Raw genomic sequence first — 21,684 nt, forward strand, 5'->3', positions numbered from 1 at the left:
GCTTTCAGGACAACCTAACGATATGAAACTAGCCAACAGAACAGTAAATTCTGCCTCCCTGCCCTCCTCATCAATTAGGCTTTGACTAGGCTTGCCTGTAGAAACCTGACCTTTTAAGTTTAGGTGAATATGGACTAGCTGAACACACCATTGCCCTCAGCACTGAGCCAGGAAATCTACTGACAGGTTAAACAAAACAGAAGGTTGTAACTGTCATAATTTGCATTGCACTTTCACGCCAACAAGGGTGTTATCAGTAGGGGCAAGCCCTGGAACACACAACTCCAGCACCCTTAAGCCACGCTACTCATAAATTTTCAAGTGAAGTGAGATAAAACATAAATTCACAAATAGCAATGCATTTCTCATCTCTCAGTCTTTTAGGTTTGCACTTTGCAAACCCACAGAGTGCCCATCAACAACTCCTTTTGGTCACCTGGCACTCCCATTGCACTAATTAGGGACTTTCAATGACCATAACACAGAAGTAAAAATAACAATGCCCATTTAAGACCTATTTTAGAGAGACTATATAATATAGCAGATAGACTGACTGGTATATATGTCAAAATGAGAACAATTAGATCTCAATATGCTATCTTTTCTTGCCTCAATTCACTCTCTCCAAAAGTATCCACAAGCTTAGACAAACAATAAGTTATCACGTAAGTGAAAGGAGGTGTTGAAATTATTTCCTACCAAGCTACTCTGATATAGCATCTTTTACAGTTTGAGGGAAAACTAAGAACATCTGTAAAATAAAAGATGTTAACACTTTTATGCTTGTCAGATCTTCTGATGAAAACAAGTGAAAAGCATGAGAAAGCAGTATAAAACTTTCCTTTGTTTAGTGACTCATGTTTTGAAAACCACTTCCCTGCTTAGATCTATCTTTTAACACAGTAGGAACTTGGTAATATCATAGTTGCTTAGCACAATGTCATTTCTCTAAGGAGAAGACCAATAATTTATTTTTTTAAGTTAATTGTGAATGGGAACTTACTTTGGCTTCAAGAACTAATATTTACACAATACCCAATGTTCATTAAAATGTCCAAAACATTGACAGTCCATTAAATATTTAAGGGAAAAAAACATATTGTTTATATAAACATATATTATTTTTCTATATACAGGAACACATACTGCATTTTGTTTTATAATTTTATGATTCAACCCCTATCAAGCAATAATTAGTATACTCAGGATTTTTCCCAAGTTGCTACTTCATTGTCCCTCACAGTTGTCTCCAAACTATATTTTGTAAATTTTTTCCATAAATCTAAAATATCTATAAGCTTATTCTTGTCTGAGTTTAAAAACTTTCATATACCTACGTTAGAGCAGCACTGAAAGCCTAAACATCTGCAGAAAGATTTCTGATAGAAATAAACAAAGATGTCAACAAATTTAGTCATGTAATGGTGGAAAATTTTAGACTTTTTTAACTAGAAGAGATAGAAAAGATTACCTAGTCCAACCCACTCATTTAGCAATTGAGAAAATAATGGATAAAGATAGTGACTTGATCAAAGTCACCCAGGTAACCAAGCCAGGACAAAAATTTGGGACTTTTTGTTTCCTAGATTGATGCTTTGCTGATACGTTCACACTGTCTCCTTTTATCTATCCAGGTATTCTGGATAGCAACCACCTTACATTTAAAATACATATCTATAGATTTGTATCATTCATTTTTAATTTATAAAGTTTATAGAAAGCTTTGATTAGCAGAAAAGATTAGATTATTCGTAGAGCATTTAACCAAAAAGTTACCCAACAAATATTAGAAATAGAAGGCCCAATTAAGTATGGTTGGAATCCTTTACTGACCAAATATGATGATTAACTAAGCATCTGGTCATCTTTCTGCTCCTTTGTGTGTACATAGCTGATAGCAAAGTGAAAGGGTATGGATAGTGTCTGATCCCAGCAAGCAAATCATTTGAAAACAGTCATAGCTACAGGTCAAAGATTTTCTACTCAGTCTAGATGGATCTAAACGTACTAACCTCGATTTTAAACCTAATTACCTATATACCAAATCAGTCAGAAAATAAGAGAATGACTCTTTATGATCCAAAGATAATAAGGGAAGATAGGAAGGAAAAATTCAGGAAAGAGACTGGCAGAACCTTGATATCCATAGGCCAAGACAGCTGTTTTATATCCTAGCTTTATATCAGATGGTTAAAGGAAAAGTTTCCATTCCTTAGATCATTAAATATTATTTCATTTATATTACACAGATGTCTTCCATACATAGATTACAACCAATGAAGCATTTTGTTGTTGTTGTTTAACCACTACAAGCAATCAGAGAAACCTCTCTGCACATCACTTTTACTCTAATTCATAACATTTAAAGGATGAGGCAGGCTAGATTTTTAACATTTCCATTAAAAATAACACAAAGTCCATTAAGTATTTCTTGTAATCTTAGCAGATGATCAATGCCAAATTACTACTATTCATAATAATATAGAGTGCTACAGAACCAATACATTTTTAAATAAAATGTTTAAAATGGCTAGTGCTCCTAAAGTATAACAAAAACCTACCCATACGATATGCTTAACTAATAATTTTAAACATAGACCCACAAAATGTCTCATATGACCTGAAAGAAATAGCACATAATGCCAAATATTATATTTTGAACCAAGTACAGCTCAACACTAGCATAATCTACGTCTCTAATTTCACTCATCTGTTTTGTTAATGTCTGGCACTGATCACAAGAGAAAGTAGAAAGGGAGTGGGGATGGATTTAATATCCTAAGAAACATATTCTACACAATTTTTGTTTCACACACATTGTTTTGGCTCACAATGTGAGTCAATAATATTATCTTCATAAACAAAAGATATCACACCTTGAAACCATAAGGTCAGCTTTCAATTTTCTTTAACACTTAAATTCATTATTATCTGATCCTGGTTTTTCTGTCTACCTTCTGGAAGTGATGTTAAAGGCCAGCAAAATTTGGTTCTCCAGGTAGAAAAGTCACAAAGAATAATCCACAAATTATACAATCATTTCTTAAAGTTAACAGTTGGCTCTACCAAATATACCCTTTCATGTGAAGATAATAGTGACTTATGAAAGTCAAAGTTATTTGGCAGGTAAAATTTAATATTTATCTAATAGTACATTAATAAGTTCAAACTGGTTTTTAAAAAAAAAAAAAGGAGGAGGGGAGAGGAAAAGAAGGAAGGAACAAGGAAGAATAGGAAAAGAAAATTTTTAAAAATTTTGCTTCAACTTTTCAGAACTGCTTAACTATGTATGTAAATAAAAGAATGTAGTGTTACAACTCAAAAATGTATACATTTAAAATGAGAAAAAGATACACGATTTCTTGGTAAGGTCAAAAGACATATGCCAATATAAGTGTGAATATAGCAAGTTCAAAGAAACTTTCTAAAAAATACTTGCTGAATTAACTTGGATGTTAACATTGCACATTCTAGCGCAATAATATAATGGCATTTACTTCTTAGTCAGGCTAAAAGCTGCTTACTTTAATTTTCCTGAGCACAAGTCCCTTACTCTATCATTGTATATTTTTGGTGACATCAAATTATGTATAGTTTAATAAAGTACTCATTTATGCAGTTGCTATTCAACTTGGGGGAAAACCCTGATATACAGCATACTCTCAATTTTCTCATTCCACTATATAATACAAGAATTATATTTGTAAAGTCTAATAGGTAACAAACATCTCTAATCATATATATTATCTAAGGCAATCCAAACAAATTTAAAAGGCCCACAAACAATACTCATCAAAAGTACATAAAAGCATTTTATTTTTCAGTACAGTTTGATAGGCTTACTGTACAAAATTAAAGCTACTGCTTTTACCTGACATAAAATTATCTGAAGTTCAACCTGTTCAAATGAGAACAATACCCTTGGGTTACTAATCAAAGAGAGTAAAAAAAAATTTTTTTTATTAAGGCTATTTTGTGAGGGGGGAAGAATAACTTGTTTCAACAGCATGCTTGACCATATAAAATTATTAACAGGCACTATGGTGAACTGTTCAAGGCAAACATTCAATTACTGGTTATTTTAGATTGATTCCAGAATAATAATTACAAGTAGCTTAGAAACAATCTCCTTAACACTTTGGAATTTTAGAAAATTAAATCCTTTGACAGAGAATAAAAGAGAATGTAGTTTTACTGTGACTTATAATGTGGACAGTATAATCTTGATGACTGTCATTAACACATCTTACATATATTTAAATATAATTACTTCAATAAAATTTCATCAACTAGAATACACTAACAAATCATATCTGGGTTATTTACTTTTCTTTCTGTTTTTAGTGAAATAATTTTTAAATTCAGAGAACTTAATAGTGTTTTATTTCCTCATTTACAATTTGACCAAAAATAAAAATCAATGTTCATTTTTTTAAAAAAAAAAAGCATTTTCATAAGTATGTAGAATGATTAAGTATATAAGAACTAAAAATGTAGCACCCACATAGATGTTTCAAAGTTAGAATTTAGAGGATAAGACTATATACCAGTAAACACGTGGTCCTTTGTTTTCCAAAAAGTATAAATCCTCCAGAAATGCTTTCTTTTCTTAAGTCAATAATCTGATTATTTTTTGAAAGCTTCTAAAATATTTCCTGGAAAATAAGATCATGTATTCTAAAATTTGTTTACTCTTTAGTAAAGATTATTGAGATACAATATATTATTTTTACAGATAATAAAATAATAGATACCTTTTAAGTCTCGTTAACATGATAAAGTAACAAATGCACTGACGTTAACTCAGTAAATACATTTTTAAGTAAAGATCAGCAAAAAATAAAACAGTTTAAGAATTTTGTATTCTCTGGAAACATAAACAGGATTATAACTGTCAGATTACAGAAGCACTGACTTCAGCCATTAGTTTGGTTTGGCTCCTGAGAAACACAACATGAACTACTGCATCATTTCTTTTCAAATCCATACATTCCCTGCAGCCGTTCAAGCTTCATCAGCAGTGCAGGAATGTATAAAAATGACAGGCAAAGGGCATTAGGTTTTTTTACTTCCATACTGTTTTCCTATAAATGGAAGACAGGATTCTTTCTCAAAGCACTTAAGCTCAAGCTCAGTCAATGCTGAAGGAAAAATACAACTGAATTCTCTATGCAAGAAAGTATCACAATTGGATTATTTACTACTTTTCAAGGACATGTTGATAAATCTAATACTGTATTATTATCTTAGAATAAAACATTGTAAGGTTAGCATTCTAGCTTAATTACCCATTATTCTTCAATTAGAAATATTTTCACTTTTTAAAGTACTCTGTCAACTCATCACCTTATTTTAACACCAAGTATTCAGTTTTGCTTCTAATTTTAATTATAAAAATTTCCTTAAAATATGCCAATTTTTTTTGAAAATATATTTGTATAAATAGTTAATTTTTTATTTCCAAGTTTCTGTACTCATAAAGGTTTCGGTGAAATAGGAAATTCCATTAATAATTAAAAGTTTATTTAACCATGATAAGTAAAAATAGGATGTAATGAGTAATCTGGTTATTTGACTGGACCTTAAACATTCACATTGCTATAAAACTAGTACCGTAATTACTACAACCTGACTCAATTTTTTGAAGAAACTGGGAAATTTTCAGACTAAAGTTTTAAACATCCTCATATTTTAGTTTATAGTAACTAAAAACATGCCCACTTCAGTACTATCACCTACATTCTTTATGTTCCTAATGTAATGATGCAAGAGGTAAAGCCTAGAGAAGTCTGAAGGTTACGGACTACCTGATATCCAAAACAAAAAATTCAGATCACACCCTGAATGTCCTCCTTCCCTTTTTAGGAATGTCCTGCAGCTAGCCCAGCACCACAGCTCTGGGCTGAAGCATGCCAATGTTGGCACTGCCTAAGCCAAACAAACAAGATGTTTAACAGTCAAATAAAATGTCCTGCAGCCTCCCTAATGAATTTGTCAAGGACCATCAGATTTCGCACCCCCTCCTTTGCCTCATTAACTCAAGTATGATGAGACGGATTATAACAAGAGAATACAGATGAATCGGTCTGAAGACTTGAAGTGGCTTTTAGCCTCTAGAGTTTCTTTCTCTCACTTGGTCTCCTTTAATAGAATATAGTATCTCCTGCAGAAGGAGCTGCCAGTTCGTTTTAATACACCATCAAGGAGCTGCTGATGGACTTCTATACTAACATACATAAAAGCAGAGGTGACAGGGGCTCTTCAATTACAGCCTCCTCGGATACCGTTTCCCCCTTCAATTATTCAACCAGAGGAAGAGAGGACCGCAAAGGCGCAGCTGAAGCTGCTCTTAGAGCAGAGGCAGCCAGAGTGAGTTGGGGTGGGGGAGGGGGGAGAAAGAGAACCAGCAAGAGGGAGCATTATTTGCTGGAAGTGTTTAAGTTTATTGCTCGAATGATGTTTCTAATTAGTACCACGGCCATAAATTAAAGTCGCCTTTGTTTAACTGATTTATTATTTACTAGAGCATCTACCTAAGACAGGGTAAATTGGTAATGAATTGTTTTTAAATCAAAACATTTGTAACGTTTTATCATCCTTCCCTCTGTATGTAAAAGTGGAGAAGCGTAGGGGCAAGGATGCGAGAAAACTTAGCCGAGCTTGACAGAGCCGCCAGTGGAGGTGCAGCGGAGTGTCCGGCGAGTGGTGGCGCGAAGGTCCGCTCGGCCTGGGACGCCCCACCCGAGAGAAGAGGAGAAGGCGCAGGACTTGCGGCGCGGCGGCGGAGCCATGCGAACCAACTCCGCCACCCCTGAGGCTGTTTGCAAACACTCACTCTCGGGAGCGTCGCGGGCCGGGCCATTCGCGAACCAGACGCAACGACGAAGCGACCACCTCGAGAGTGGGGCGGGAAAGCTCCGCACCCTCTATCCCCGCCACCAGTCTCCGCCCAGTAACTGCCCCCGGAGAAGCAACCACGGAGCCCCTCCCGGCCAGTCGCGCTCTCCCGGCAGCGCAGTGCCCTCCGGCCCAGGCAGTTCCCAGAGCGCCGGCAAGGCCTCCCGGGTTAGAGCCGGGCTCCCACAGGCGCGAACTCCGAGGGCGCGAGGTCCCCTAGATCCTTAGGCGGCGAGGCGTTCCGGGACGCACGCGGCCTCCCCGGAGAAGGCTGGAGGTCAAGCAGCCCAAGTCTCTGCCACTCCAGAGAAGTTAACTAAAGCTCTGGAGTCCAAGAGTCGCGCGGACACTTAATTCTGACTCTTCTTCCTAATCGCGGGAAGACAAACCCTAAGCAACAAATCCGAGATAGTTTTTTTTTAAGCAAATATTCCTTAGAAAGGGACTTATGGCAACGAGAGAGGAAGGGTGACAAACTGCCTGTGGTCCGCACCAGGTATGTAAGAAAGAACCAAGAGGCCCAATTGTCTGATACCAAGTAGATAGAAAGAAATTAACTTCCCTATGCAATTCAATTCAGGTTCACCCGGCCGGACTTTAAGAGGGTAAGTCAAGCCCTCCCAAGGGGTTTTGAAAAAGCCGAACTACCAGGTTTCTAAAACGAAGTCTTCACCCAAATGGACGCATAGATTTTTATTTTTATCGCATAACCCAGGGCTGGAATATAACCTCCCAAATCAAACTAAAAATAATCACATCTACCTGAAATACGTTAAAAAGATTCAGAATCCAGACATCTTAGGTTCATACATAAACCCTCAGTATCAAGCAAATCAGAAACAATGTTCTAGCTTTTTTTTTCACCCAAAAGTATGGAAAGGCTACAGTGGGTACAACTCGTTTAGGATAATACATATACTAAAAGCACATGCATGCCTTTCATTGAAATGCCTAGGGAGGAGTGAAGCCATCTGTGTAATCAATAACAGGATAGTTATAGATTTTTGTGGCAGTGAAGTCTTTTAAAAGCAAGAGTCAATTATGAAAATAAAATCATTTTACAAATGAAACTCTGTACCTGTACCCCCTAAGAATACATTCACAATTAGATTTACAACAGTAAGATTTTAAGAAAACTTTAGGTTTACATTTACTTGCCTTGTTTTTCATTAAGTTTGAAGCAATTTTAGTAGCTTATTTTAAAAGTATATCCTACTAAGTTCTACGACATGTAAGTTTGCACCATTTCTCACAACTTAGATATTTTCTCTCTCGTAACTAGTTAATTCTTGTAACGATAAAATAATGGTATTAAATACATGTGAATCTTAATTATGAAATAATTATCAAACAAGGTGCTTGGACTAGTTTTTGCCCTGCCCTGTTTTTAAACAGCATATCGAAATTACTAAAAAGAGATTTATAAACCCTCACCTTATATCCACTCCAACCCTCACTGGTGCACATATACAGCAACTGCTCTGATTCTTGGCAACAATGGGAGGGGAGGGGAAGAGAAAGGAGGATGACTTTAAAGGAGGAAAAAACCTGGAAAAATTAGGTCCTTTCCCAGATTCCCCTTTCGCTTCCCATTTGCCTTCAAGCCAAAGTAATTTTGTTACAGTTTGCACCTTCTACTACACAATGTTGATAGAATCATTTAAAAAAAAAAAAAGTGAACCTTTCTGAACCATTGCTACTCTCCCTCGCGTTATTCCAGCCATCTCCAGGAGAGTCCCTTCTATATAAACTCTTTTTCTTCTTTGCTACTGATAAGAGAGGAGGATAAAGAGGAACGGCTGTAAAATGTGTGCAAGCATTTGACTCCCATTATCTCCTCCTATTTTCTTACTTCTCTCTTTACCCTGTTTCTTTATCAAGTGCAGTGGTGGCTGCTACCGTTCGCCAAGCGTGCCTGTCTTCTCTCTCGGATTGGCTAAAGCACTGACAGCTCGGATAGCGATTGTAGGAACTGAAGCTCCACCCCCTCATGATGGCCCTGGGACCATTCATAAACTAAATAACTCCAGGAAACAGCGAGGGAGAGAGAGAAAGAAAGAGAGAGGGAGAGAGAGAGACAGAGAGAGTTAGAGGAAAGAAGAGAGAGCGAGCACGAGGAAGGGGGGCGGGGGAGAGAAGCAGGGGGAGAGCGGGGCGAGAAAGAGGTCGGAGGGGAGAGGAGGGGGAGAGACGACTCAGAAAGTGGAATCTGTAAAAGCAAGCTAGAGGAGAAGAAGGAAAACCCTGAATCGTTATAACTACACCCCAGATGCAACGCAAGCAACGACTTCGTCACACTAAAACGGATTTTGTGAGGGCCAAAAGTATAAATTACGAAGCAGAAATGATTATCAAACAACTTCCAGCGGTTTGCACCTAAAGAAACACAAGGAGAACCCACTACAAACAAACAAACCCAGTCCAAACAACGCCTCCAGTAGGAAAAGAGGAAAACTGCGATAACACGACCCCCCGAGAAGAGACGAGACCAACACGCTGAGACTGTGGGGCGTCAGCAAACCTCCAAGTGCACGGCGGACTGAGTTGTACTTCGCAGCTCTCTGGACATTAATTACCTCCTGCACCTTCCATTTGGGGGAGGGTGAGGAAGAAGGCACTCACCTACACTGAGCGAAGAAGTCCTATCAGCGTGGAAGAGAAGTTTAAGAATGAACCACTGAATGTTTCGCTTTTATTTTTAAATTTACTTTGGCACTTAAAAAACCTCATTTCCAGATTTCTGGACAATCTCGGCTGCAGACATCTAAGCCTAACCTTTTGGTATCCTGAGTTTTTTCCCTCTCCTTCTCCTTCCTCACGCCCACCCCGCTTCTCTCGCACACGGTCATCTTTACATATCAAGAGAAAGCAAAAAGGTTCCAAGAGGTACTTTTCTTTTTAGAAAATCACCTTTTCTCCCCTAATTCTTCTGCAGAAGAAAAGAGGTTTCGAAAGAGGGAAAAGGAAAAAACAAGCCGGCTACGGTATCAGCCGGTCAGCCCAGGTGGAAAACGAGAGTGAAAGTAGGGCTTAACGGGGAGCGCACCGCCTCTTTCGAAAGCCGCTGGGCCACCACCAGTGCGTGAGCCTTGGATCCCTCAACGTATTGCGAGACGCCGGTGTATAGCCCGGACCTGTGCCCCAACATGATCGCCGCTCAGGCCAAGCTGGTTTACCAGCTCAATAAGTACTACACTGAGCGCTGTCAGGCGCGCAAGGCGGCCATCGCCAAAACCATCCGAGAGGTCTGTAAGGTGGTCTCGGACGTGCTCAAGGAAGTGGAGGTGCAGGAGCCTCGCTTCATCAGCTCCTTGAGCGAGATCGATGCCCGCTACGAGGGGCTCGAGGTCATTTCGCCCACCGAATTTGAGGTGGTGCTCTACCTAAACCAGATGGGCGTCTTCAACTTCGTGGACGACGGCTCGCTGCCCGGCTGCGCAGTGCTCAAACTGAGCGATGGGCGGAAGCGGAGCATGTCTCTCTGGGTCGAGTTCATCACGGCGTCGGGCTATCTCTCAGCGCGTAAGATCCGCTCGCGTTTCCAGACGCTGGTGGCCCAGGCGGTGGACAAGTGCAGCTATCGGGATGTGGTCAAGATGATCGCGGACACCAGCGAGGTCAAGTTGCGCATCAGGGAGCGCTATGTGGTGCAAATCACTCCGGCGTTCAAGTGCACCGGGATCTGGCCTCGCAGCGCGGCACAGTGGCCTATGCCCCACATCCCTTGGCCCGGCCCCAATCGGGTGGCCGAGGTCAAGGCCGAAGGGTTCAACTTGCTCTCGAAGGAGTGCTACTCGCTGACCGGCAAGCAGAGCTCGGCAGAGAGCGACGCCTGGGTGCTACAGTTCGGGGAGGCGGAGAACCGCCTGCTGATGGGCGGCTGCCGAAACAAGTGCCTCTCAGTGCTGAAGACTCTGCGGGACCGCCACCTGGAGCTACCCGGCCAGCCGCTCAACAACTACCACATGAAGACGCTGCTGCTGTACGAGTGCGAGAAACACCCACGAGAAACGGACTGGGACGAGTCGTGCCTGGGCGACCGGCTCAACGGCATCCTGCTGCAGCTCATCTCCTGCCTGCAGTGCCGCCGCTGCCCTCACTACTTTCTGCCCAACCTCGACCTCTTTCAGGGCAAGCCCCATTCGGCCCTGGAGAGCGCTGCCAAGCAGACCTGGAGGTTGGCCAGGGAAATTCTCACCAATCCCAAAAGCCTGGACAAACTATAGGGTGCTGGGGACTGCTTGAAAAGCGACACAAACGGGCGTGCTCTCTCAGACACACAACTCTGCTATAAACAGCAGAAACTCTGGACACAAACTTTTATGTAAGTCACCTGAAATAGGAATCCGGCAGAAGACCTTCATTAATTAAGAAGCAAACAAAAAGAGAGCAACCCAACCAAAACAAATCACATTCTTGCACAAAAGTGATCGTTTTCTTCCAAACAATGTGAATTTAAAAGGTCACACAAAAGAAGCAATCGGGCTCCGCCACCACAAAATGAAACCCAAGGTACATTTTCAAATCAATGTATAGTAGTTCCCCCCCCTTTTCCTTCTTTCCCCCTATCCTTTTTCTCTCCACCCCATCCCCCCCCCCATTTCGTTTTGCTTTTGGTTGCCTGAATGTTGTCACCAAGTGAAAAAATTATTTAACTATATGTAAAATTTCTCTTTTAAAAAAAAGTTTTACTGATGTTAAACGTTCTCAGTGCCAATGTCAGACTGTGCTCCTCCCTCTCCTGAACCTCTACCCTCACCCTGAGCTGTCTTGTTGAAAACAGTAATAAAAACATTACTTTACATTGTAATTGACTGTTTGTGGATTGTTCTTAAGTGAAGGCAGGTGAGATCACAGTTTATAATTTCCAATGTAAAGATGTGACGAGGAATCAAATGCAAGAAGCTTCCACTTGAACTGATTTGCAAAATTTTAAATACAGTACATTTTGTAGAATTGACTGTATAAGTTCCGACCCAAATCCTTAGAAAATAGAAAACACTAATTTTACTCAACTATAATATATATTTGTTCTGTAGATGTTAAGATTAAAAGTAACATCTACTTCACGCTTGGGAAAAAAGTATGAAAGAAAATATTTTGATCCTAATTTTTAAAATAGAAAAAACTTTTTCACATTAAAAATTAAGAGATGTGCTTTCTTATGCCATAATTTCAAAAAATCCAATCTGAATCCGATATACAAAGGAAATATTTATGGATTTTTCTGAATAGTTAACAAAGTCAGTTGATACTTTTCCTTCAACCGTTTGTCCTCTTCAAGCTTTGAGTGATAAAAATTTAACAATTAAATAAACCACAACAAAAAATACAATGGTTATAGCAATAATCCTCTCCCCAAGCATATGGTGATATGAACCATTCAGATTTATAAATTACTTCCATTTTAAAATGGCTTAGTTGTAAATTCCATAAGTATGATTATTTTAATCAAATTTCAAGAATTATTCTGAAACTGCTTATATGCAATTCAAACAAAAAAGGTTTTCATACCATTTTTATAACCAAAGAAAAATTATTATTCCAGGATTTAGAAATAGGAAAAGTACCTTCCTCCTCTTTCTGTTTTTCTAAGGTAACAAACCAATATACTCATTTCAATGTTTCAGCTTTAACAAAGGTTTCTTTTTAATGCAAGGGAATAACTGATTAGAAAATAATATAATTAGTCAAACAGAAAGTATCCCAAAGGAATTGGTTTGTCTTGCTTATGTTGAAGGTAACTATATACTCCATTCGCTATGCTAATGATGAGACACAGGTACAGAATATATGTCAGATGTTACCCTTTAATATCTAACATTTATTCTTTGTATTAGCCCAGGTTTTAATTTATTGAGAAAATGCACAAATGAGAGGTGTAGAGAAAAATGTTTTTAAAGGCAATTTTAAAGATCAGAGGAAGAAGTTTGAGAGGGGGAAGGGCTGTATGGAGGGATGAGCAGCAGGATAGCAGAATAGATGAAAAACAAGAAAGCCACTCAGGGGTCTGAAGCCTAGTTCACTTGACAAACAGGCTTAAGTTGTGTAAGATTCCTTGGTAAAAACAGTCCTGTGTTAAAAATATAAACTTTGATCCTATCAGTTCTGAAATCATCTCCACTCTTTCAACTCAACCTCTATTATATCTATTTTTCTAGTTGCTCTTCCTGTATTCTTCACAGTAATATTAAGTGGCTCAAACAAACAAATTCTTTTAAATTATAAAAACCAATTTATTCTCTGGGGAAAATGTTCTGAATTTTAAAAACATTTTCAAACAAACAGTAGGTGCTTACATTTGCACAAAATGATTTAAAGGAATAGTGTTTGGTTTCAAAGATAAAAAGAATATCTATAAGTGACCATTTTTCTCACTCACAAAAGTATTTACAGCAGTAGACATACATCTCCCTCCAACTATTCCAGAAAAAAAGTTTTTAAGTCTTGACAAAAAGAAACAAAAATATCCCCAATTCAGCATATTTTCTTCTTCCTTATTTAATTTAATGCAGGTATCAGTTAAAAAGGAAAAACACTGCAGGAACATAAATGTCCTCATTTACAGAACACCTTAAAGCATTAACATCTATACAAAATTAAAACTTCTCCCAGTAGCTGACTGAAAAATTGTTTTTAATATAAATTGGCAGGAGTTTTAACTTCTGGAATATAAGGAAGGTTGCAGTGATACAGACCATTTCTTCATTGAGCCAAAAGATCTCCATATTTCACAAGCAACAAGAAAAAAATAATTTAATGATGCTGTACAGAATCAGATCAGAGAGAGACAAAACTTGTAACTTCTCTAAAAGGAGCAAATAACTTCAAAGAACCTAATCTCACACATTGGCAGAGATTCTAATTTTCAGAACAATTAATTAGACACTTTTAAATTAAATCAAATTTTAGGCTTTGCTCTATATGTGTTTAAAAGCATGATAGAATATCTTGAATTAAATCCCAGTCTTTCTTAAATTCAGAAGTTACCAGAAATCAGAGAGTTTAATTTTGGTAACCTTCCTTTCCTAAAGAAACTAATGCATTTTCAGACATTTCAGTCATGGGACAAAGTAGAAAAAATTTTTAATTGATAGAATTTCAGAATTAGCAAGTTTTCTCTACATTGGATTAGTTAACTTATCAAGCTCAAAACAATCAGTTTCATACAATCTACCAAGTCCTGTCTTAATAAAGGCAGCAATATTGAAACAAAGTGCTAGAAATATGTGTGAGACATGATTTGTTTGTATAGTTTTAAACAAAATTATAATATTTTCATCAAGAGCTACTACTTTGAAATACTTCTAAATCATTCAGATTTAAAAATTCACATGATTACAAAATCAAAGAACCTACCAAAAAACTCAAAATATGTGTATGTATATACATGTACATAACATATGCTATCAGCCTGCAAAATAAATTATTCCACTTTTTAAGCCACCTTTTTCTACAGATTGCTTATTTTGCTCATTTTTAAAAGAAACTGTTTCCTCTCAGAGCAAATTATACCATTCTTTTTCTTGAAATAAACCTAATTTTGGTTTTTATGACTGTGCTACAAATGTTTCTTAGTAAAAACAAAGTTGCCAGGGTCTGAAAAGTAATGAGAAATATATTTTAAAGGGGAAATTACATTTTCATTTAAGAATAGAAAATTATGCAGTGCCTTGTAAAATCTACTATAGGTAATGGGAAACAGAGGTATCTCACACACAAAACATGCTTGCATGCACGACAGAGTAGTAAGTCATGGGGACAAAGCAAGGAGAGTGATATATTGGCATCATATCCAGAAAACATAAAGGCTAAACAAAATAATTCCACTCTCAATCTCACTGAATTTTGTATCTTAATTCACCCTTGACCCTTTGAGGCAAAATATATTTATAGACAATGTTCTCGGAGGTTCCTTCCCCTCCTCACAAAGAGCTAATGATAAATGTCATTAAGTAGAATTTGTTTTTGAATCTAAATGAACTTCAATAATCTAACTAACTGGTAGGGAATCATAAACTAAAGAAGATAATGACATTGCATATAAGCCAAGGCAACTTAGAAGAAATTCAAACTAAGCCTGTCAGATTTACCAATCCCAATCCTATCCAACAGCACCCACCATCCCATCATAAGAAAAAATGAAACCCCTTCATCTTCTCACCTTGGGGTCGATTTTTTTGAAGTTAGGATCCTCTTCATCCACCTCAAAATAGAGTTCGGAGGAGGTGACAGAAAGAGTGCCCTTTACTACAACAGAGGGGGCCACAAGCTGAGCTGGTGTGCTCAGGCTAACAGGACCTGCCAAAAGGAAAAGACAAGCCACACAAGTTGGAATGACATTTTTCAAAAAATCAAATTCGACCAGAAATTGTATTTAATCTTTTCATTCTCACGTCTAGTACTGAACTGCCTGCCAACTACTTCTACAGTTAAATATTCTGTCCACCCCAAATCTTCCTCTGAAAATGCAAAGTCAGGATTCTCATACTACAAGATCTATAACAGGCGGTTAATGATAACAGTAAACTAGGATGCAATTATTTTACAGGGAGTCTGCAAAGCTTTGGTCTAATCTCTAGGTAAGAAGTGGCTCTGCCTAAATAAGTCCATCCACATTCCATTTAGAAAACAGGCCTCAGGCTATCTAACAACATGAACAACAACCAGGAGCAAAGAAGCCTCAATAGGCTTCCAAGGCCAGCAGTTAGCTTACAGTATGGTAGAGGCATGGCTACAAAAAGATCACTAGCTTATTAATGAAGTGGGAAATGTTAAACCATATTTTCTGATAGAGATTTTATGCCAGCTTGACACAAAACCTCTTCCATAACAACTTTACCCCATCAATGACTGGTAAAAATACTTCTTTTCTAAGCCTTCCTTTCCACTGTTAAGTATTGTTCAATGCTTCCAAATCTAATATTAGTGTAGTTCAGGGACTCTGGGAGTAAACAGCTGGAGGGTGGGTTTCCAAGTGAATGAATTTTTATTGGAATAATCAAATCTCCACAGGGCTTATCAAAGAGACAAATCAGACTGCTACTGAAAACAATAGATTCACTACAGACAGAACAGCATAATGTGTATTAGAGCTAAATATAAAATATGAACTAAAAATGTTACATATATATGTCTGTTATGTCTGTGTGTGTATACACACACACACACACACACACACACACACACAGAGAGAGAGAGATCGACGTAGAAAGAATTTGAAATTCCATTATCAATTCCTCATGGTATAAATCCTATAGGGGAAGAAAACAGCATAAGAGAAGATTGGCACTTATAGTTCTGAATTAATATAGTGCCTATAAACAAGCTGTGCCTATTCAGGTAATCAATGGGTGAATAAGTGTTTCAAAATTCAGATGAATTGACATTTCCATCGATTGTTAGAAGGGTGATAGTGCTTAATCTCACATCAATCTTAATGTGTGCCAGTAGGACAATAGAAGGGATGCTCTGCGGAGATCAGAGCAGGTTTTGCCCTCTATTCCCAATGTACAAATACATTGTGTTTGCAGATGGGCAGCAGATAGCTGCAGAACAGCCATGATTTCCCAAAGCTCATCCTTATAAATGGATGAAATAAGAAGCTATGTGTTCTTTTGCTGTCTCCTTTTGCCCTCTGTACATTAGCATGTAATACTGAGAAGAAATAACATTTTTTCAATCACTCTCAGACATTCAATTACAGGGTAAGCAGACAGCTGCAAGAGCTAGGGCAGCCTAGGTCCTACAGAAGACCCCTGACAATTTCCACTTCATTTCTAACCCACACCACTTTATTAGTGTGGATTACTTCTTAATCCTATTGCCATTGTCAAGATTATATAATTAAACTCCCCTTTCACCTCTATTACTGTATGAATGTATTACTAGTAGCAAGAATAGAAGCAAAATAAAGGAAGAAATGGGTAAATGGATGTGAAGGAAAAGACTACAGAATAGCAGTATCTACCTTACTCTCCACTCCCACCAATTAATTTTATTTTACTTTATAGAGAGGTTTACAGTTATCAGAGAAGATACCATCTTCTCTTTTTGCTTTTCATTACCAAGTGGCATAGTAGCACAGGTTGCAGATATGTCACCAAAAGCAAGGTTTTTAATGTCTTTTCTCTTAAAATTATCAAAATGGAATACTATGTAATTTTCACCTATTGAAATTATAGAACCTTTCAGACTTTCTTCCTTGAGGGACAGAGCCACAGGTATTAAAGTAAAAAAGCCATTTAATGAATGACTAAAATTTCCGGCTAAACAAGAGAATTTTTCCCATAAGGGATGTAAAACTGAGAATCTGCAGAGTGCAAATCAAAATTCCTACATCAGGCAAAATACGTGAATGTTGTGAAAAGCCATGGCATTCTCGGAATTGATTTGAGAGAGTTACATGCATATACAGCATGTTCACTAAGACCTGTATATCAAAGCAAATAGCTTCTCTCCTTCCAAGCTTTATTTACAAAAAAAAAAAAAAAAAACTGGCAGAATTTTACTTATAGTCTTACTTTACAGAGATTTGGTAACTCCTATGGGATGGGTGAAGTAATTTTGTTCTTTTGTTGCTGCTTTTAAACTTTTTCTTTTTCAGTGAAAATTATTCACAAAAGAAAAAAATGAGGAGAGTAAGAAGACTGAATAGAATAGAAAAATAAAGGAGAAACTGTAGAAGGGGGGGAAGTATTTGAAATAACCAATTAATGTAATTGTGGGTATAAACTTGGTAGTCCTAGTGGTCACAGCTGAAAAAGTAAGTAATTATATGCTTATTGTCCCAGAGGTAGCTGAAATATCTGCACAACCACCAAATTTACCGGCAAGATTCTCTAAATCTTTCTCATCCACGGATGACAGAGTATCATCATCGCCTTCCAGGAGGATCTCGTTTTCTGAGTTCTGATTTCCTAAAGCCTGACTCCTGATGGACTGTTTTCCTTTAGCAAGGATATCTTCATCTGTGGCTGAAATGAAAAGGAAACAAAGCTGTCCATCAGTTCTGGGAAGAGCACTTCGGCAGAGGGGTAGGGGCTTAGGTAAGGGTAGGTGGCCAAAGATGGTCAATCTTTTATACACAGTGTCAGCTACAGTGGAGAAAGTGATTGGGATGGCACACATGCCTGATCTGACAAACTCGATCCCCCAACCTAGTCTAATGTTACCCTAAACAAGCACCCTAATCCCATTAAATTTGACCCCTGCACTGCTCACCAAACCATTTATTTACTTATAGTTAGGGTAGGAGTGGTTCAAAAGCAGTACTTTTATTGAAAATTCATTAATAGGAACAATCAAATCCCAGTTTTGGAAACAATATTTAACAGCAAAAAATAAGGACTGATTCATTCCTCCAAACAATGTTATACTGACAAACATTTTGGAATGGTTGAGGAGTGGCTGTGGAGAAGAATCCAGAATTAAAAAGGGTTAAAGCTAAGAGACATTCACAAGCCAGTGAGGATTTAGGCCCAGATACTGAAGCCATATCTGACACTAATAAGACTACAGCAGCTCCTCAAAGCTGCAATCTCTTCTTTATCCACCCTCCCTCCTTCCTTCCTTCACATTACCCTCGTCCACATGTTCACACATACACTCACTCCTCCGCCCTTTTGTCCTTTATACAAATATCCAGGAGCAAGGCGGTGTGGAAACTAAGTGGAAGCTCAAACACTACCTCCTCTGCATGTTTAAACTAAAGGGCTAAGGCACCCCGGGGGCAAACATAACAGAAAGCCTGGGATGAGAGGCATGTGGGCAAGGGGCCTCATGCGGCCTGAACTGGAGCAGCTTGTGGAGAGCAGCAGTACCAGACTCAGGCACTATGACAAGGCAGCAACTGCAGGCAGATGGAGGAAAAGAGAACACATCTAGGGAGGGAAGAAGCAGCCCTGCAGAGCACCTACACTCAACAATGGGATCCGAAAGGAGAGCAAAGACGCAAATGAAAGTGGAAAACCCTGAAATTCAAAACTCTGATTCAAAACCCACATCCTTCCAGGGCTCCTCCTGTTGTTTTGAGCAGCTTTCTCCTTACGACAAGCAGGAAGGCAGATGCTAACTTCTAAATTGTGATTTGTAAAACTTCATATGTGTATCTTTTCCTAATCTTTTTTTGAATGGTGTCATATAAGGGAAAGTTAAGAATCTTCACCTGACCCTCCTGGCTTCCAGCTAGATAAATCCCAGAGGTAAAGCACCTGATCTACCCAGGCTGCGGCTTTTGATATGGAAATCGGATGGCTAGGGTTTTTTTTTTTTTTTTTTTTTTTTTTGCTCCACTGCAGCTTCTGCCTAGGCATAAGGCCCAAACCCCAGAAAGAATAAAGCAGTCAATTTGCAGTAACACGACTAATATATATATATCTATATAATTTATTCTACATAGTTAACCTGCACATGTGTTACCTGATTTGGCAGATCAAAGGTTCTTAGGGTTTGATAAGTACGTTTACGGATGATGTTAAAGGTAAAAGGTTTTTTTTTTCTCATATTTATTGCGAATTCACCATGTATACCATTTATATACAATACTTATAGTGCTACTGAAACATAGGAGTTTTCTATTTAATAAGAAGTCATGGGAAGAAGCTTTCTATATTTACCTTTAAATACACTCTATGGGTAAATAAAATCTTTCATACTCACAGGCTGCATTGTAAGCTACACACATATGATGGTCTGGACATATGTTTGAAAAGATTACTTTAGTGTATCTAATTAAAGTGGCTTTATTTATTTTTTATTTAATTTTTTTGAGACAGGATCCTGCTCTGTCACCCAGGCTGGAGTGCAAAGGCACAATAACAGCTTACTGCAGCCTCTAGGCTCAAGCAATCCTCCCAGCTCAGCCTCCCAAGTGGCTGGGACCACAGGTGCTTGCCACCATGCCCAGCTAATTTTTTAATTTAACTTTTTGTAGAGATGAGGTCTTCCCATGTTGCCCAGGCTGATCTCTAACTACTGGGCTCAAGCAATCCTACCACCTCAGCCTCTCAAAGTTGCTGGGATTACAGGCGTAAGTCATCTCACCTGGCCTATTTTTTTTTTAAAGGCTAAAAAGAAATATACTTACAATTAACCAATAATTTTTAGAAAAACAGAACTATGTTCTAAAATCACTTATATTTCAAGTATTTATAGTTCCTTACTCTAAAATCAGAAACACTGCCCTGAGGCTAAACAAGATCTTTTGCAGTTTGCTATCAACATTATTAAAAATATATTGGCCACTGAGAAATGCAAATGAAGCACCATCTTCTAAATGTTTTTATAAAGTAAATTATAATAAATTATTATTTTCCAGTTAGATTTTAGTACAGAATAAGTATACCACATTCTTTTTATTTCTTGGATTTATAATTCCTTCTTCAAAGCAGAAATAATAATAAGGCTAATATTACATATCATTTTGCATAAGTCAGGGAGTAGTGTTAAAAATACTTTACATAGTTAATTCATTTAATTCTCATAAACCTTCTGCTTAGTTCTAATTTTAAGATAAGAAAGCAGGCTCAAAGAGGTTACATAAATTGACCAAGTTAACATGCGTTTGACAATTAGAGTCAGGATTTAAAAACAGGCAGCACGGTGCCAGAAGCTGGGCTCTTAACCACGATGCCATATTAGCTCTTAGATGTAAGAAACAGAAAGAAAACAAAACAACCACTGTTCAAATATGAATGTGTATATAATTAATTTGTTTACTAATTCTTGTTTTTCATAGTGCATTTTAAAAGGTTAAATGAGAATAATAATCAAGAACAAAAAATATTCATTTCCAAATCTAAAATTGATGAACATGCCAAACACATCAGAAACAACTAAACACCCTGCTCATTACTTCCTCTGATTATTGCCATACATGTCCTAAAGTACACCAAGCTTATGTGAAAGGAAAAAAGAAGAAACCTCTTTAATCTGCAAACATTTACAAAAAAATGAGAGTCCCCAGTGGCAATATGTAATGGTTTAAAATAGCTCAAAAAATAAATTCACATTCATTTATAAATGACCACGAGAAATATAATTATCCCTTCCAATTGCAATTAAAAAATTTTTAAATATGTTCTAATCATGCTGCCTATATTAAAACACAGTAAGGTAACTTCTGAATTAAAGTTTCATTAAAAATTTTACATACTATAGGTGTACTGTATGCATACACACACCCACTTTAATTTATTTATTTACTTATTTTTACAAGCTCAGATTCTGGAATTGTTCAAGCTCCACTGAAAAACCTCTTGTCATGGAAAATATGCAGCTTACTGATATTTAGAATGGTTTTCCTGTAATTAACTCCCCCTTGAGGATTTTAAGTTAGCAGCAGTAAAATTACCAACAGTACTCTAATATACACCACATGCGCTGGTGTTCAATTCTCAGTGGTCTAATAGCTTTCTGCTAAAGAACCTTAAAAAAAAATTAGAACAAAACTTTTCCAAGCATAAAATAAAGGATTATTATCATGTTTATATGTACTGGGGAAAAGTATATTTTTAACTTTCATTTGCCTTATTCTCAATCAACCATTATAAACAAGTATTTTGATATCTTCTGTGAGCATATTCTACACACGTCTAAAAGTTAATTGGATGAAGTCAGAATATACTTTGGGTTCCATTTTAAAGCTCAATTCAGATATTTCTGGCTAATAAAATTGTTACTAACATGATTGCTGTTTAAATTTTTCATATCATTATTAAGAAATGCCTTTTATTCTGGTTTAATTTCACCTTTTATTCTAGTTTAATATTTATCCTAACTTAATAC

General features: G+C 37.4%; 2 protein-coding genes and 1 long non-coding RNA gene across 13 annotated transcripts in view; 2 read left to right on the top strand and 1 right to left on the bottom strand.

Moving 5' to 3' along the window:
• Positions 1-21,684, bottom strand: part of LRBA (LPS responsive beige-like anchor protein) — a 751,293-nt gene that overhangs the window by 308,552 nt on the left and 421,057 nt on the right. For 9 of the 11 annotated variants that reach the window (XM_047416462.1, NM_001367550.1, NM_006726.5 and 6 more), the window contains 2 exons: positions 17,727-17,873; positions 15,062-15,198 (listed from right to left, as the gene is read on the bottom strand). In XM_047416462.1, the coding sequence (XP_047272418.1) occupies positions 15,062-15,198; positions 17,727-17,873 (284 nt within the window). Of the gene's footprint in view, positions 1-6,835; positions 6,904-8,331; positions 8,782-15,061; positions 15,199-17,726; positions 17,874-21,684 lie in introns of those variants that run through there. The other 2 variants (NM_001440432.1, NM_001440433.1) reach the window with 2 other exon arrangements.
• LRBA-AS1 (LRBA antisense RNA 1) lies at positions 6,103-8,248 on the top strand. Its single transcript, NR_149035.1, has 2 exons — positions 6,103-6,369; positions 6,618-8,248. It is a non-coding gene; the product is annotated as an LRBA antisense RNA 1 (long non-coding RNA).
• MAB21L2 (mab-21 like 2) lies at positions 9,165-11,707 on the top strand. The gene has a single exon (NM_006439.5). It carries the CDS (start codon positions 10,044-10,046, stop codon positions 11,121-11,123), a length of 1,080 nt encoding a protein of 359 aa, NP_006430.1. The 5' UTR covers positions 9,165-10,043; the 3' UTR covers positions 11,124-11,707.

The sequence above is a fragment of the Homo sapiens genome, chromosome 4 (genome assembly GCF_000001405.40).
Source record: "Homo sapiens chromosome 4, GRCh38.p14 Primary Assembly".
Taxonomy (NCBI): domain Eukaryota; kingdom Metazoa; phylum Chordata; class Mammalia; order Primates; family Hominidae; genus Homo; species Homo sapiens.

What these genes read in the sequence shown, in the direction of transcription:
- MAB21L2 (NM_006439.5), top strand. Translation starts at nt 10,044, where the DNA reads ATGATCGCCGCTCAGGCCAAGCTGGTTTACCAGCTCAATAAGTACTAC.